We start from the raw sequence: 19,082 nt of genomic DNA on the forward strand, positions 1-19,082 counted from the left end.
TGTGCACAGCACTAAGCCATGAGGGATCTGCCCCTATGACCCAAACAATTCTTACCAGGTCCCATCTCCAACCCTGGGGATGACAATTCAGCATGAGATTTGTCAGGAACATTTATTTAAACTATATCAAGGTCATAAGTGGATTCAAATATTTTCTGATTGGCAATTGGTTGAAAGAGTTAAATTTTGTCTAAGGACTTGGAGTAGAAAGAAATGCTTGAGTAAGATAAGGGGGCTTGTGGAGACCGAGGTTCTTGCTGTGAGATGAAACCTAATAGGTAGCAGTCTTCAGAGATAATAGATAGCAAATATCTCCTTTTGGACATTAAAAGATATGAGACTCAATTTATCTCTCCTAGATCAGAGAAAGAACTGGCTGCATTAATGGAGATTCTCTACTGATGCAAATTTTCCCCATAAAAGATTGCTTTGCAGGGCTACTTCAAAATATGTAAAAAATATATTTTAGGATAAAATATTTTTATTTCCTTCAGGGTCTGCTATCTTTCATGTGATGCTATACCTGAGTCAGGTTAGAATTTGATATTGCCACAAAGAGTCTGTCAATCTTATGATCTCTGTTTTAATGTTAATGCTGGTCAGTTGTGCCTAAATTCCCAAAGGGATGGGGTTTAATGAGGCACTTCTGACCTCCCTTCCCAACATGGCCAGGAATTTAGTTTTTCAGTTTTCTCTGGGATCCCCTAGGCCCACAGAGGATCTCTTTAGTGGGTTGGGGTGGCTTAAAATTTTATTTTTTGTTTTACAGATTATAGGACATTTCCCTTTTTATATCCCTCACTGGTACATCAGTGGTTCTCCAGTATGGTAACAGTGGAATACAGCTAAAAGAGCAGCTGGAAGGTGTACAGACTGTCTCCACGGAGGAATACTTAGGAAAGTCCAAAGTAATGATGAGAAACAAAAATGCAAAACAAACAAACCAACCCCCCCAAAAAAAATTCTAGAGGAATTTAAAAGCCTATATACCCAACTTTCTGTTACCTGATATATCATGCCCTCCTACTTTCAACAAAAAAATTACAAGGCATGCCTACAGGCAAGAAAGAGCACTATATGAAGAGATAAAACAAGCATAAGAACTCAGATATGACAAAGATATTGGAATTATGAGATAAGGAATTAAAAATAACTGATTATTATGTTAAAGATTCTAATAGGAAAAGCAGACAATATGAAAGACTTGATGGTAAACATAAACATAGAGATGGAAACTCTAAGAAATATCTAAAAGGAAACACTAGAAACCATAATACTATAACAGACTTGAAGATTACTTTTGATGGGCTCCAAGAGTAGACAGGACATAAGTCAGGACAAGTGATAAGCAAATCAGTGGACTTGAAGATAAATCAATAGAAACTGCTAAAAACTGAAATTCAATGAAAAAAATAGAATACACAAAAACAGAACAAAGCATCCAAGCATATGGAAAAATTTCAAAAGTGTAGCATTTACATAATGGGAATATTATAAGGAAAGGAAAGAGAAAACAGGGCAGAAGGAGTATGTAAAGTAATAGTGGTTAAGAATTTTCCCAAATTTATGACAGACAACAAAATTCAGATTCAGGAAGCTCAGAGAATACAAAGCAAGGTAAATAACAAAACAAACTAGGACTAGGCATATCATATTCAAACTGCAGATAACCAAAGACAAAAGAAGAATATTGAAATAAACTAGAGCAGAACATTCCCATAGAGAGCTAAGAATAAGAACTGTAATAAACTTCCAGTCAGAAACCATGCAAACAATAACAAAGGGAAGTGACATAATTAAAAGAAAGAAGGACAGAACACAACCACCTAGAATCCAATATGCAGCGGCATCACCCTTCACATGTGAAGGAGAAATAAAGACTTTCTGAGACAAAAACTGGTGGAAGTCATTACCAGCAGACTTGCACTGTGAGAAATGTTAAAGATAGCTCTTTAGGGAGAATAAAAATAAAACTTGAATCTACATAAAGAAGGAAGAACATCAAAGAAAGAATATGTGAAGGTAAATAAAACCTTTCATTTCTGATCTGGAAGATAACTGATACATAATGATAAAGGGGTTAATTCTAAGAAGATAGAGCAATCCTAAGTTTGTATACACCTAGTACATAGAGACAAGCAATGCGAGGCAAAATTGGTAGATGTGAAAGGAGAAACCGACAAACTGCCATAATATTTGGAGACTTTAACACCCCTTATTAAGTAGTTAATATATCAAGCAGGCAGAAAATCAGTAAGGATATAAATGACCTGAAGAGCACTATCAATCAATATGATCTAATTGACATAGAATATGTCCAACAACAGCAAAAATCACGTTCTTTTGAAGCTCACAGGGAACATTCATCAAGATAGTGTACATTCTGGCCCTTATAACACATCTCAACACAACCTCAAGTTTAAAAGAATAACAATTATACAATAAGATTTTAGAGCACTCAAAATCAATATTGGAATTAAACTTGAAGTCAACAACAGAAAGATAGCTGGAAAATTCCCAAATATTTTGTAATGAAACAACACACTTCTAAATACTACATGAGTTAAGGAAGTCACAAGTGAAATTTAAACATATTTTAGACTAAATGAAAATAAAAATACAACTTACCAAAATTTGCAGGATACGGACAAAGCAGTGTCAATGCAGACCTGGGAAGTTCTGCTGGTTTTAGGTGGGTTTCCCCATGAGTCTGGGATTTGGCTGGAGGTAGGCTAATCTAGACTGGTTTTATCTGGGGGCTTAGCTCTGCTCTACAGGACTCTCTCCTTCCCCTGAGACCTGTGACTATCCCAGGCATTAGTTTTGCCAGTGCTGTCAAAGGTGTGAGAAAGCAAGCCCATCCATGCAAATACTTCTCAAGCCTCTTGCTTGCATCATATCTGCCTACAACCCGTTGGCTCAAGCAAATCATATGGCCAAAACCAGAATCAAGAAGTAGGGAAGTACCTTCCACACATGGATGGAAGTGGGGCTAAAAGAGTGAATATCTCAGAATAATAATCTATTACAATAATATTGCCAACTTCAAATGGTTATTGTAAGTATTGAATTAAGATATTAAGTTATGTATTTATGTAAATTCAGCATAGTAGTTGGCACATAGTAAAAGCACCACCATTTTTAGCCATTTCTATTACTTTATTAGCCTCTGGAAATAAAACACGCATACTTCTTGTCCTCGTAGTGCTTATTAGTAAAACAGATGTTGCATATGTAAAGATAAGAAATGCCAGGTGTTGTGGGCAATATTTGGGAACTTTCTCCAGAATGAAGACTGATCTTGCATACAAGCCTAAAAGTACTGGCAATTCAAGTTCAAGCCTAAGTAAAATTACAAATATTCCAAATTAAAAAATGATGAGTTCATGTCCTTTGTAGGGACATGGATGAAATTGGAAACCATCATTCTCAGTAAACTATCGCAAGAACAAAAAACCAAACACTGCATATTCTCACTCCTAGGTGGGAATTGAACAATGAGATCACATGGACACAGGAAGGGGAACATCACACTGTGGGGACTGTTGTGGGGTGGGGGAGGGGGGAGGGATAGCATTGGGAGACATACCTAATGCTAGATGACGAGTTAGTGGGTGCAGCACACCAGCATGGCACATGTATACGTATGTAACTAACCTGCACAATGTGCACATGTACCCTAAAACTTAAAGTATAATAATAAAAATAAATAAATAGAAAAAAAATAAAATAAAATCTTTAGAAATGACAATAAAAAGTCAAATTTTAGTATTAAACTCTTGAATGTCATGAGTTTACTGTATTGCATTAGTCTTTAATCCAATCTTGGTCATTTTAAAAACAGTAAAAACCTTGTATGATTTATAGTTTCCAAGTTAGTTTACAGTTTCAAAGTTCAAAATGGCTAAACTTTACTGAACTCTTACCATGGGCCAGGCACAGTTTTAAATATTTTGTGCCTATTTAAGACCCACAACATTTTAGGAGATAGTGATCCTATTATTTCTGTTATACAAGGGAAGAAAATCAGGCACAGAAATATTAAATGACTTGCCCAAAGTCACACAACTAGTAAATGGGGTAGTCAGGATTTGAACCCAGCTGGCACCAAGTTCATGTCTTTAGTTCCCACCCCCTTCAATGCTTTCCCATATATCATTCCATTTAACATCACTTCGCTCATTCATTTAAAAAATATTAATAGAACACAATAATGTTCCATGTATAGAGCCAGGCACTGGAGAATATGCAAAAAAGTACAAGACATAGGGCATGGTTTGCCATCCAGAAAAGGAAAGAATTTAAAAAGTGTTCCTCAGGCCATTCTAGCATGGCCTAGAGAAATACATCTTCCCTCCCCAAGTCTTTATTTAATCTAGAAGAGAGAAGAGTCTTTTGGGAAACTCCACACACCAGAATTCTCCAGGTTATCAGTAGGATCCCAGGTACAACAGACCTCCATAGATGGGCTTGCTTTCTTGTGCCTTTGATCTATATTTCCCTTGAAAAAAAAATTCTTGATTGTTTTCTTTCATATGGTTTTAAAAACAAGGAGATATCCCTTTTTCCTCAACAGCATTATATTCTGTTGTCATATCACAAAGAAACTGTGCCCCTACATCCTCAGTTTTCTATAGAACCAGACACTACAGCTTTTCAATTGGTTTACTCAATATTCTGGCCTTTTCTGTTCATCCTCTGGCTAGGAAACATTCTGGGTTGCTTGCCTTTCATGTATCCACTCAGCCCAGTATCCACTCAGCCCCAACTAGTGATGCTCACTTCAAGCTAATACTGCCCAACCATCCTCCCATTTGGGTGACCCTCCTCTCTATCTGATAGACGATTTAGGTTAGGAAAAGATGTTATTTTTGGCTCTGCAGGCCTCTGAGAGTGGAGGCCAATTGTCAGCCTCAAATAGTCTACTTGTTTAGACTTCTCAGCCAGCTCCTGTAATTCTCATGCAAATGATCCTCAAATCCTGGACCTAATGCTTCCTCACCAGAGCATGGGTTACTGTGAGATGAAGTGTCTGCATGTGTTCTCTACTTTTGGAGTCCCGTTTAAGCTAAGGAGATGTGACTTTCTTGGAGGAGGGGGTTTATAAAGTTGGCCTGTGATATGGCTTTAAACTAAGAGGCTTATTAACCCAACGTAGTTTGATGCTGTGTAGTCAAAAGGTAAAGCCAAACTGGGATCAAGCAGAAACTAAGCTAAAAGTGAGTTGAAGAGTGCTGACAGTCTGAAGGGTGAGACAGTCTCCAAAGGAGGAGGAAGAGCCACAAAGGGATTGGTGACTAGAGGACTGAATTGATGGAGAACAGTGTGTAATATTCAGACCATGATCAGTGAGAAAAGCTGGTGCTTGGGCAGTAGTTAGGAGGTCAACTCTATGGCAGAAGTAGACCAGTCTTGCGATGTAAATGGAACACCAGAAAGGCCAGGGATTTGAAATCTAATAATCCTAGTTTCAAATCCCAGCTTCATCACTGCCTGATATTGAATATGTTATTTAACTTTCAGGTTTTCATTAATAAATTGGAGATTATTATACCAAGTCCATGAATCGTTTTGAAGATTAAAAGAAGGAACATGTCTAATGTACCTAGCTTAATTTTTCACACAATCTGAACATTCAATAAATACAAATTTTCTCTTTCTTTGCTTCCTAGTCTTCTACCCCTCCCCTAACTGCACCATAATCTTGATTCATCTTTATAAACTGGTTTTGTTTACCTGTCTCAAACTGAGCGATTTTAAGAAGTTCTGATAACCGTTTTCAATTCTTTCTAATTAGTTTAAAACTGTGGAATGCTATCTTTGTGCTTGAAATATCACACATTTCTCTAGGAACAATATGGCCCATTCTGACGAACTGATAAAGTCTAATTTTCCTTTCGACTAAAGTGAAATGTTCTTTATCCAAAAAGCCATGAAGAGTAAAGCAATAAATAAAGTATCTTGGCCTTAAGAAGGTAAAATTTATTCCCTTACCAGAAACAAAACAATGAGCACTCAAAACTTAGCATTAAATTCTGAGCAAATTCTGAGCAAAACTTAACATTGAATTCATGATTAAAATACAAGCAAATCATTTAAACAAATTCACACAAGCCTGTAATATTAATTCCAAAATTAATGATGCTATATTTAAAAAATGTAAGGGAAATTGCATTATTAGAAACTCTAAGGGCCCAGACAAGTTTTACTGTACTTGTACCTAGAGTATTCCTTGAAATGGAAAAATCATATGAGAAATCTTTTTTTACAGTAATTTTAGATGTAGTAGTTTTTGTCATACAGGATTTAACCTATAAGTTAGGGAAATTATAATGTACAGAGGTAACTGTCAAACTTTTTAAACCAATAATATGTTTCTTTAAATGAAATGTTATGTGGAAGACCTATATACATAATAAAAAATAGCAATAGTGAGAGTGAGAACCTGGAATTTATCTTCTTCAGAAACACATATTCTCTCTCCAATGTCTGACCCCTACAGAGACTCTTAGCCCCCAGCTCCCTCAGAAAGCTCCTAAGGCTTCAGGATCCACAAGATAGTCACGGTTCTAAAGCACCATCAAACCACTTTTTTTCTAAATTGCTTATTGTAACCAATTAATGTGTCATTAAATAAATTTTAATAAATCTCAGCTATATTTTAGCTTTCAAATGAAATTTAAAAAGATGAAAGTGGCTTCTCAACAATTTCTTTTTAAATATTTATTTCAGATATAAATGAATATATATTCCTGGGTATGCTGCATCATAATTTAAAAAGGATTTTAGGTCTAGAAGACCACATACTACTTCATGAGGTTGAGAAAACCTCATGAAAATGGTAACATTTTGGTAAGGTGATTTTTAAATGACAAACTTCCAACTCTAATAAAATATAATGAAAGCGTATTTAGAAGAAAAGTTATAACTAAACACACGTATAGACCAATCAATGAAGAAGTTGGAAGCAAGAATTTTGTTAGCAATAAAAAAAGTAGCTGGATATTTTTAGCAGTTTATTTATTTATAACATTATAAGTTCCATGCTATTTTTGTATCTATCTAAAAAGTGCTTTGGTTTCAAACCTAAGATTATTGAATAACTTGGCCTGTCTCTTACACTCTAAGTCCTTTATAGAGAAACATATGTGAAAATATTTCAAATGCTTTAAGTGCAAAAAGTGGGCATAGCAAATAACTTGGTAAATCCATGGAATTGGGTGATGTGTCTTCTCCTCATAGCACTGCAGATGTATTTGTCTTTTAGGTTCCAGCATCATTCCTGTATTAATTTTCAAATAAACATCCAAAAGAGATCAGTTTCTTTTTATGTGGAGCACAAAGATATTGTGTTGGTTAGACTCCAATTGCTGAGTTGCCAATAGGAGTCCCTTGGCTCCTTAAGCTACACAGTATTTTTTCCAAAATGATGCATCTTATTTCTGACCAGCTTTTCTTAACATGATTCGAGATGTCATAAAGTCTTCAAAAAGCAGCATATTCTGAAGATTTCTTAAAGTATTTCTTCTGCTCAACAGCCTCCACCAAACGCATTATATGACATTGTGACTTGTGAGTGATACTGATCAATGTTGAGAAGTAATCTTATGTGGACTGGTTAATGGGCAACCCTTCCTTACCATTGGCCCTAAATTTGAATCGTAGGTCTCTAACAAAACTGGTCTGGGAGCTAGTTGAGATAACATACACATCATTAATGTAACAGGAATCACAGTTGCAATAATTATTAATATTGTAGTGTTTGATTACTATCAGATATAGAATGACCTAGTTCCAATGTAATTTTCATCTCTTCCTATAACCTGTAAAACCAAATAAAATGACTGAGGTGCATTCCAATCAATTTAGAAGGTTTTCTTTTTCCTTTTTGCCAAGGTTGAGGATATGCCCCGGATAAAGAAACACAAGCCAGAGCAGAATCTGTAGCCTGCACTTTCTTCAAAGAGGATTTTGAGGGCTTTGATATTTAAAGGGGAAAAAGTGGGCAGGAAGGGAAAGGGGAAAGAAAAGAAAGATGGAGGGTATGATCACATTGTTATGACAGTTTGATTAGCCTTACTGAATCCACATGTTGCACGTAAAAAGAAGGGGTGGAGGAAACAATTATATATTTATCTCGTGCTCAGTACACCTGCAATTTACATAAATCAACATCGAGTAGAGGAAGAAGTCAAGTATACATTTGGCTCAGGATGGGCAGGGTGCAGGGGACAATTTCTGGTTTTTCTTGTCCTGTACCCTGAAGATAAGCAGTTTATATATGAATACATAGTCAGGGTGAGGGAGGCCACCGCAAAGACATGTGGCATTCTACATGTATATCTATCAGTTAAGTAACAAAAGGAAAGGCAGTTTTGTGTGTGTGTGTGTGTGATTCAGCTTCCACACTTCACTTTTCTCTTTTGGCATAGTGAATTTGGGGTCTGGATATTTATTTTCCTTTTACAAATCTATCAAATGGAATTCAGCTTTGGTAATCAAAAAATTCATTCAACAACCATATATTTACTGTCTACTACATGCAAAAAAATACACTAGAGACAGCAGGGTATCCAAACACAAGGAAGGCGTCATTGTGGCTTCAAGAATATTCAAACCTGGCATTGAAGAGGACGCAACTTTTAAATCAGCACTAAGAAGAGCAATAGCTAGTACTTATTGAGTAACTTATATGTGCCAGGCAATGTTCTAAAATTTTTTACTTTAGTACTTTCATTTTCACAACTGTCTTATCATCTCATTTTATATATGAGAAACTTGCTCAATATCACACAATTACTTAACAGTGGAGCCTGTATTCAAAGGTGGACATCTAAGAACCTTCACTTACTTCTAGTGTGCCATGCAGCCTTTCTGATACAAAACAAACTATATATGTAAAACATTATGGGGATTTTTAAAGATGTAAAAATACACACCGAACTGCAAAATCACGACTTCTTAAATGGGATGGTTTTGCAAATAAAAGTTGAACTATAATTGGGATTTTAACATCTAAACACAGGGATGATGGTAACCAGTTTAGAATGAGAAGGGGAACAAAATCTGGAAGTCAACAGAGTGGAGAAAATGTTTTCGCTATGATTTTTAGAAAGTCAATTATAACCTGTCTTTCGAGATATTTAACAATGACGAAAAGGTGAAACTGTTAAAGGTTGTGATAAGGTGGAAGACTTTGTGAGGGCTCGGGGAAGATGGGACTTAAGTATGGTGAGAAAGAAAAGAAAGTAGTAGAATAAGAGATTGGTAAAGATTTAAGGGAGAATAATAACCAGACAAGACTCAGAAGGAGGTAAGAAGCAAGTCAATAAAGAATACATGAAGAGGGACCAGGAAGAAGGAGTCTTCTTTTTAAGAAATGGCAATGAAGAACAATGTGGTAAATGAGTTAATATAAAAAGTCAGAGGATATAGAAAAAAGCTACTATATTTAACAACATCTTAAGTTCTGATTTAAGAACAAAAAGTACTCATAAAAGATATTTCTCAGCTTACTTTCTTTACATGGTACTTAAATAATGCCTCCAAAATTACTGTTTATTTATTTATTTTTTTGAGATGGAGTTTCACTCTTGTTGCCCAGACTGGAGTGCATTGGCGCAATCTTGGCTCACCACAACCTCCACCTCCCGGGTTCAAGCAATTCTTCTGCCTCAGCCTCTCGAGTAGCTGGGATTATAGGCATGTGCCACCATGCCCGCCTAATTCTGTTATTTTTTTAAATAGAGATGGGGGTTTCTTCATGTTGGTCAGTCTAGCCTCAAACTCCCAACCTCAGGTGATCCGCCTGCCTCAGCCTCCCAAAGTGCTGGGATCATGGCGTGAGCCACCATGCCTGGCCTGTTTTTTATTTATATATTTATTTTATGGTGCAAAATGATCAGTGAGGTCAATAGACATTTACCAATTAATTTATTTACCAAATATTTATTGAGCATGTATTGTGTGTCAGATACCATGTTAAGTACCAAGAATATAAAATAAATAAAAAAAAGAATTATCTCTTTCTTCTAGAGCTTTCCTTTTAATGGGAGAAGCAAAGAAATAGATATATGAAGAAGTGATAAGTGTTCTGATAGAATAAGTCCAAAATGTAATGCAAGGTTATCAGTCAAGTAACCTAACATGGTCCAGGAAGATCAGGGAAGACTTCTGAAGGAAGTGGTATTTAAGTAGAGACTAATTTGAGAGTTGACCAGGACAAGAAATAAGCAAAAGTACCAATTAACTTGATCTCAAGTGTCATATAAAATATTTTGAATTCAAAAGTCACAAAAGTGGAAATGTTATATAACCCCAAGGCTTCAACCCTCAAATTTACCCTCTAACATTAAAAAAAAATCCTACCTTGTTGTTGTACTATTGATTTGATTTAGTTTTTTCCTTCTAAATATATTTTATTGACCTGTGATTCTGGAGGGTCAGGGTTTCTCAGAGCTTCCAGAGACCTTTGTACAGCAGATGTGTTAACAAAGAGCAGAAAGTTTCATCTTTGAGTGCTCTAATGTTCACGAGACTGGCGTTACAGGTAGCTATATAGAGAAGGGTAGCTATAAATGAACAACCATTTGTTTTGGAGACCCACGGTACATGGGATATATGTTTTCCAAGTCCAAAGACACACCTTGTCATCTAGGTAGGACACAGATGGCCTCTAGGGAATTGGCTTAAACTTTACATAAAACTTAGATATTCTGTTGGTGAGATTTGGAGTTTCATTTAACTTCATTTTTTTCATATACTCTTAAGAATACAGTTGCACTGAGTCAGAAAGAACGGATCTAAAGTATTATTTCTTCTGGTACAAAGGTGGAAAGTTAACTGGATGTTATATGTAAGTGAGTTTTGGAAGATGTCTTTAAAGGAAGGAAAATTAATGGTGTTCCAGGAAGTTTGTGGGGTTGACTGGTGAGATGTCAAGCATTTTGAGGGATTCTGAGGCTGGATTTATAGTCTGAGAGAGACATAGACACTTGAAAGTAGAGTCTAGAAGCCTTAAGAATGATTTTCTTTCATTTCATCATTTTTCTGATATGCCATTCTGAGATTCAAATCAGTTCAAGTTCCATAGCACCATGTTAACACTGAGCACGTTGACTCATATTTGTTTCTCAGTCTCACCTTTTAGCCCTCACTGAAGATAAAAGTTTTTCCCCCAAAATTGAGGTAGATTGGAAAGGAATAAGAAGAGAGACCAATAAATTTAAATAAGGATTGAATGTAATATTAAGTATAGAATCTTAGAGAATCACGTTGTTCCTAATCTCATTATTGCAATGTGCAAGAATATTTTTCTTAAGTAGAAATAATGTTTATAATTGCTATGTAGTATTAGAGAAAATTATTTTTGATGTTTCTTTCAAATTAAATAGAAAAATGTAAGTATGCATGTCATAGTAAGATTTACAATAAGTAGCTTTTCTATCCCATTCATCTGAATATATCGTAGGTTAGACAAAGGCCCACATGGAAGAATGATTTATCTCTACTACCTGATTTTTACACTTACACTTTGACAACTTACAAGAGGCCCAGGCCGTAAATGTCCTCATTCTGAAGCTCACTCATATCCATCCTCACTTACGGATTATTTGGAATTAGAAGAAATACATGATTTTATACGTCTGTAATTTGACTTATATCCTCTCTATGCTTCTGAACTTTCTCCTGAAAGGTTACCGGTGATCTCATTACTGCCACATCTTTTCCTCCATTCCTATTGTTTTGACGTCATTGTTCCACCTGCTATTGGTGCCTATGCTTCCTCTTGGGAACACCCACCTCCTTCTCCTTTGAGAATCCAGCGCTATCATGACTACTCTTACTATTTTTAACTCTTTTGTATCTCCTGGCCCTAAACAAATATCTGATATGTATTATTGTCAATGATTATATCTTATAGTTTTGTCTCACTCTTTCATTAAACATAATCTTATTTGAGTCCCATGAAGGACAGAAGCAACTATCTGCAAGGTGTAGAGATGAGGCTAATATAGTTTCAATGTCATAAGGCCAAGGGACTCAGAAATGGTGAGAGACAGGATTCAAACCTAGGACTTCTGACTATTAATTTGGTGTCTTTTTGGCTTGACTGATTATTTTCTTTTCTGGTATTTAGAATATTCAATTTATATACTTTTCTCCCATCAGAAAAATTGAAACTTTCTTTATGAATGTGGTTTGGGTCATACAACAAGATTGACTTCTTAATCCTCAGCAGGATCTGGATTTTCTAGCTCCTAAATCCTCATATTGTGTTCTGTGGAGTTCATGATTCATATGTTTTAAGCAAAGGGAGGAACATAAAAAAAGGAAAAAAAAAAGCCTGAGCAAAAATCTTAGGAGAGATGAAGTCAAGATTTTAGAAAACCGGAGAAACCTGTTTATAAGATGTATAATTTTTCCATATCCTGAGGACATTATCTGTGCTATCACTCTAGAATATTTTAGCCAATACCTTTGCACACTTGCCTAAGGTTGCCTAATGTTTAAAGGCACATACAGGTCAAGAAATAATGAAGTTGTGGTTCTATATTCTTAATGTGGTACCAAGTAAGCTATGTGATTAGAGATCATGTAGTTCAAGCCTACATTTTAAGGATAAGAAAAGTCTGATTCAGAGAGGTTAAATAACCTATGCAAGATCAGGTAACAATTTATTTTCAGAGTCAGGACGAGAGCTTGAATCTAGAATGTATAGTTCAATATTCTTTATCTTTCCGTGTTTTAGTTAAGACTAAAGCTGTTTGCTTGTAAAGCTGCATTGATTTGGGATTCTTTCTGGACCAAATGAATTAGAATCCTGGAAAGGTAAGGCCCAGATATAATTATATATTTTTGAAGCTGACCAAATGATTTAAAAATGTATCCACAGGTGAGAACCAGAGTCCAATAAATCTTACAATAAAATTTTAATAATTTACACAAATAATCCCTTACAGAGTAAGATGCCCTAGAAGACATAATCTTACTTAAGTGTAATTTTATTGGGGGCTATTTAAGTTCAAATATATATTACAAGTAATAAAGACTTTAATGGCTATTGTTTTATTGCATTCACTAGCAATGTTTTACTGTCTGTTGGTGGTAGTGATAAACAGAGAAAAACATACTAATCATGAAAAAATTCTTGGAGTTTTTTTGGCATTGCACTCAGTCATCTGCGTATTTTACCTCCAGAGTCTGCATAAATTAGGTACTGCTTATTGAATCTTAGATATAGGAAGTAATTCAGATATCTTTAAGGAGATTGAAAGACAAGAAGATTTCAAGTTTAAATGTCTACTATGTATGTTTTATCCTTTTTCTACATCTGAGAAGAACATTAACATTAATATTTGTAAAAACCACATAAATCCACATATGATTATGAAATAATCATGTAAATGATTGACAAGTAAAATGCAAAGTTCCTCGAATTAAATATATGCATTTAAATGGCTGTCTTGTGGTTGCATGAGACATAAAATGTTGAATGAATGGCTTTTTGAAAGTTAGCATTTTAACTGTTAAATGTTGCTTAAGGAGAAGGAAACATACAATTATATGCAACTAGGTGTTAGCTAAACATAAAACATGAAAAAGCAGTCCTTTAAGTAGGTATAGCTGCATTCCTAATTCATCATCACTATGTGTATAAATTACTGCTGTGTGGGTTTGCATAAGTGGCTGAAGGGGAGGTTCTTCTATTATTAGGGCGCAACTCATGGCAAGTATAACAAGCAGCAGCTTCAGAATCATCTAGGTTCCTAAAATCAAATACTATCTGGCCTTTTAATATTTTGTGATTACTGGGTAATTTTCAAGAGAATTATGTTGATGAAATTCACGGATGTCATTTTCGCTGTGACATTTTTAGAATAAAATGGTTTTCATAAACACAATGAGCAATAAAAAAGTGTAATTAGCAAATGCTTTAGCGATGGAAACTGAAAGATTGGCAAACATGATTTTCTTCTTGATAAAAAGACAACAACATATAAATTTCTTTTTCAGAAAAAATTAAAAACTATCTGCAAAGGAATATGAATGTTCTTTGCAATTAATCTGAGACTAAAAAACTCCAGAAACACAGATTTTAACTTAAAAAATGAGAGGATCATATGTGTAACAAACTTTGAACTTTAGGTGCACTTAATGCTACACGCTAAAGCAATATAATATGATAGCAAAGAGTATAGATGCTGTAGTCAGGCTGCCTGGTTTGAATCCCATCTCTGCGATTTATGAGCTAAAGAACCTTGGGTGAATTTCTTAATCCTTTTTGCTTTAATCTAAAAAATGAAATAAAAGAGTACTGACTTCATAGGGCTATTTTGAGGAATAAATAAGCAGATATATTTATATTTTATTTTATTTTACTTTTTTGAGACAGGGTCTTACTCTGTTGTCCAGGCTAGAGTGTAGTAGTATAATCATGGCTCACTGTAGCCTTGACCTCCTGGGCTCAAGTGATCTTCCCACCTCAGCCTCGGAGTAGCTGGGACTACAGGCATGTGCTACTTTGCCTGGCTAATTTTTTTTATTTTCATTTTTGTAGAGGCAAAGTCTCACTGTTTCCCAGGCTAGTATCAAACTCCTGAGCTCAAGTAATCCTCCTGCCTCAGCCTCCCAAATTGCTGAGATTACAGTCATGAGCCACAGTGGCTGGCCACCAAATATATTTTGAACCACTTAGTGAGTTATAAGTATCATGTAGAAATATTTGCTGCTATTATTCTTATTATTTGTTATATCTCATTTAGATTTAAGAACAAGTATCCATTACTTGCATGTTCCTTTCCACCTATAGTTTTGAATAAATAGAATAAATTGTATTTTAATGAATCCTCTCATCTAATCAGCTATTGGCTAATCAGCCATCCATATCAGTCACTCAATACTCAAATGGTATGTAATTTTTTAAATGCGTTGGAGTCATTTTTCATTTCAGAAAAACTCTCAAATTATCAAGATAATCAATAAGAAAATATGATTTAGATTTCAGTAAACTTTAAAACTTTCTTAGTTCTTGTTTTCTTCTACATCTAATTTTCTATTGAAAGAAAAACAAGAGAATTTACTTTTTGAGTTCTTAAACCAATTCAAGAATGGATTAGTCCATAGGAAAAATATTTTTTAAAAAATCTATGATAAAAGCTATTTAAGTAAAATAGAGTATTACTACATCAATATATGTTTCTTCCTTTTCTCTATTTTGTCTCTAACTGGATTGTTTTTGGGGTTCAGAATTGCAACTTTCTCTATATCTACATATATTTCTGTAGAAATGCTATTACAGGCCGGGCATGGTGGCTCACGCCTGTGATCCCAGCACTTTGGGAGGCTGAGGCAGGTGGATCACCTGAGGTCAGGAGTTTGAGACCAGCCTGACTTACATGGTGAAATCCTGTCTCTACTAAAAATACAAAATTAGTTGGGTATCGGGGTGCATGCCTGTAATCCAAGCTACCCTAGAGGCTCAGGCAGGAGAATCACTTGAACCCAGGAGGCGGAGGTTGCAGTGAGCCAAGATCGTGCCATTGCACTCCAACCTGGGCAACAAGAATGAAACTCCGTCTCGAAAAAATATATATATCATAAAAGGCATAAATTTTTCATTTACATGGAGCTTGCTAAAAATATCCTGTATGATTAACATACAATTAAATTTATAATGTTAATTAAAAATTAGCATCTGCTAGAACAGAATTCATATTTAAGGTCTTTTTTATATTAAATGTAACAATTTGATCTTGAACACGTTCCTAAATTTTTCAAGTTCTTAATTGTAAAAAGGCAACCCAATACCATTTTATCTCAGTGGTTTTTGCTAAGGACTAAAAAACGACTTAAAACATTTTGTGTTATGTAAAAACTAATTCACTCAAGTAGCTATGCTCATTTTTTTAGTTAGAAAAGCAGTAATTTCATAATAAATAAGTGCCAGTTATAGTCAGAAGAAACAATAACCTGAGGGAAAGAGGAAGAGATGGAAGAATTGTAACGTGTTCTATGTCCTTGTCTGTTGCTAAATGCTGGTTCTATGGGTAGGGCCCAGGGCTTCATCTGAGTGCAGGCTACAATAGGTTTAATACTGATATCAGTTTGGGGCCTGTGTGTGTATGTCCCCAGTCTAGGATTTCCTAATTCTTCTCATGAGAGGACTCCCTTTTAATTTAAAAGGATTATTTTTTGCAAGACTCTTCTTCCCCATTTAACGGCGCTTATATGTTTGTTATATATCAACGAAAAAACACATGCCACAAAGCGTTTATGAATTCAATATCAATTTAAAATGAATACATGTTACTAATTACATAGAGACTTAATGTATGTTTAAAATAGTATATATATGTGTGTGTGTGTGTGTGTGTGTGTGTGTGTGTGCGCGCGCTTTAGTCTATAGATAATTCGATTTACCAACCCCTTGGAAAGGAATCCCAGTACATCTCAAACTGGGAATTGCTGACATTGCTGATGTATTAAAGTGACTTCCTAATTGGAAAATTCTATATGACCCGGTTATTTTCTTCCCAAACCATTCTATCTTTAAATAAGCTTTGTGCCTTTAAGAGGAATTATGATTATACCGCATACTATGTATATATATTTAAATGAACAATTAATGAAAATTGTTCCCAATTATTTAAAAAAAAAAAAGAAGAAGAATACTATTTTGCGGAGGCAGTGCGTGCAAATCCTCTGATGTGTCATGGTGGAGTCATTCTCAATATCTAATGGCTAGAAAATTGAGTAAACATAGAACTAATAAAGAAAAGATTTCTTCACATCATATAAAATCAGCCTACAAAAGAGTACATTGCTGTGGAAAATTTTGAGACAAGCACAGGGATTTTTTTCACAGTGATGATATCTCATGCTTGCAGGCATTAGTTACAAAGTTAAAAAATTCCTCTTCACATATCAATACCATAGAAGTGACTGTTGTCAATTATTGTCAGCATGACCCATTCTCCCCATCACATCCCCACCATCTTTCTTTTCAGCATAAAACACACTATATTTAAAGAAACAAGCCATTAATCAGGATTAAAAACTCTTCCTCTCACTCTTTGCAAGTACCTGATAGAAAATGCTCCCAGTTGACATTCCATTCGTTTGAATTCTGCTTCCATTCCTCAAAAACACTGGGACTATTTTTTTTTCCAGATCCAATTTGTAGGACAAAAGCCATTATATAACCATAAAAGTCACTTTACCTCTTTCTAATTTATGAAACTTGTGATCTCTACCAATGCTCCATAAAACTATAACCCATTTCTAATATCATTTTCCTTGGTTCCATTTCTTCTTTTCCAAAATAAGCTATTAAGTGAGAAGTCACTCAATGCCTGCTTTCTTGATAGATTTGGAAGCTAGACTTAGGAACCCAGCCTACCTCTATCCTACTGTTCATTGATTCATTTAACTTACAAATATTGACCAACTACCAAGTACCACCATCTTAAGCATCAACGTTTGCATATAATGGTAGGTATTTTTAGTGAGCACTAACTCGGTACTAGGCACTCTACTAAGCACTTTCATTATTTTCCTATGCGCTGGATACTATTATTATCCCTGTTTTACGTATGAGGAAATTGAGACAGATTAAATAACTTGTCCAGGAATTCACACACAGACAGTTTAAATCTTAACCCCTGATAACATGATGAAGTATTTGTTTCTTTTTTTTTTTTTTTTGAGACGGAGTTTCGCTCTGTCGCCCAGGCTGGAGTGCAGTGGCGCGATCTCGACTCACTGCAAGCTCCGCCTCCCGGGTTCACGCCATTCTCCTGCCTCAGCCTCCCGTGTAGCTGGGACTACAGGCGCGCGCCACCATGCCCGGCTAATTTTTGTATTTTTAGTAGAGACGGGGTTTCACTGTGTTATCCAGGATGGTCTCGATCTCCTGACCTCGTGATCCGCTCGTCTCGGCCTCCCAAAGTGCTGGGATTACAGGCGTGAGCCACCGCGCCCGGCCGAAGTATTTGTTTCTAACAAGAGCATTCTGGACATTAAAGGGCCTTAGAGTATGAGAGAAAAAAGCCAGAAAAAAAAAAGGAATAGTAATAATAATTTTTTAAAAAGTAGAAATAAAAAGGTAAGGAGTTAACATCCATTAGATTCCATTTTCTATTCAAATATGTATATTTACATACAGTACTGCTGAATTGACTCACAGTTCTTAGGTCCTATAGAGGAGTGCAGTGAAAAGGAAGACAATTTACACAGTACAGAGCTGAACATAGGACTTACAAACAAAAAAAAAGTCAAGGAATACAAAGTAGCTTTCCCAGGTGTAAAGTACCGGGTCTAGAATTCTATGAGGCTAGGGAGAAGATAAACGACAAAAGCTATAAGAGATCAGAATGAAAAGAGATCCACAAGCCTAAGAAGCCCAGGCCCTTGAGGAGAACCATGAATTTGAGCAGGATTTCACTAATTCCTTTAAAAAGTAGCCATTGCCTCAAAGTACGACTCCATCAGCATAGGCAGGAAAGTGGGAGTGAGGAAAGGCTTAGAGTTTTCCAGCCTGGCTGGGGTCAGACAATTTGCCTGGGGAAATAGTGGGAGCTGAGGTTGAAAAGACCGATTGGCTTCACGTTTGTGGCAGGCCTTGTCCAAAAAGCAATAGGAAGTCGTTGAAAGGTTTTGTGCAGGGGAGCGACAGGATTAAGGCACTACTTAGTAGGAAGTCATATCAAAAGCAGCAACCTGACAAATGGCAAATACGACAGAAGGAAAAAAAATAACAGGAATTTTCTTCACAATGACTCGACTTTGAGGTAATAAATGCCTGAGCCACATTGGAAGCAGGGGTCTCAGAAGGAAGGCGCAGATGGGAAAGGCTTTTCTGGGCGGTGGCGTTTCAATGCAAGGAGGGCGCTTGAATCACTGACAGACTTCAAGTTAAGGGAGTTTTCGTGGCTGAGGTTAGTAAGTCACACGCACAGCTCTCCAAAGGCATGTATGGGGAACGCCAGCCTTGGCTAAAAGACTGATTCAAGTTATGTCCGTCACCCTGAGCAACCAAAACCACCCACTACAGGGCAGGTGACCCCACAAAGCAAACCAAG

At 35.8% G+C, this 19,082-nt stretch overlaps 1 long non-coding RNA gene across 1 annotated transcript in view; it reads right to left on the reverse strand.

Annotated features, from left to right (window-relative positions):
* LOC105377276 (uncharacterized) overlaps positions 1-19,082 on the reverse strand; it is an 87,048-nt gene that overhangs the window by 67,510 nt on the left and 456 nt on the right. The gene's annotated exons all lie outside the window — the stretch shown is intronic.

The sequence above is a fragment of the Homo sapiens genome, chromosome 4 (genome assembly GCF_000001405.40).
Source record: "Homo sapiens chromosome 4, GRCh38.p14 Primary Assembly".
In the NCBI taxonomy this organism is placed as follows: Eukaryota; Metazoa; Chordata; class Mammalia; order Primates; family Hominidae; genus Homo; species Homo sapiens.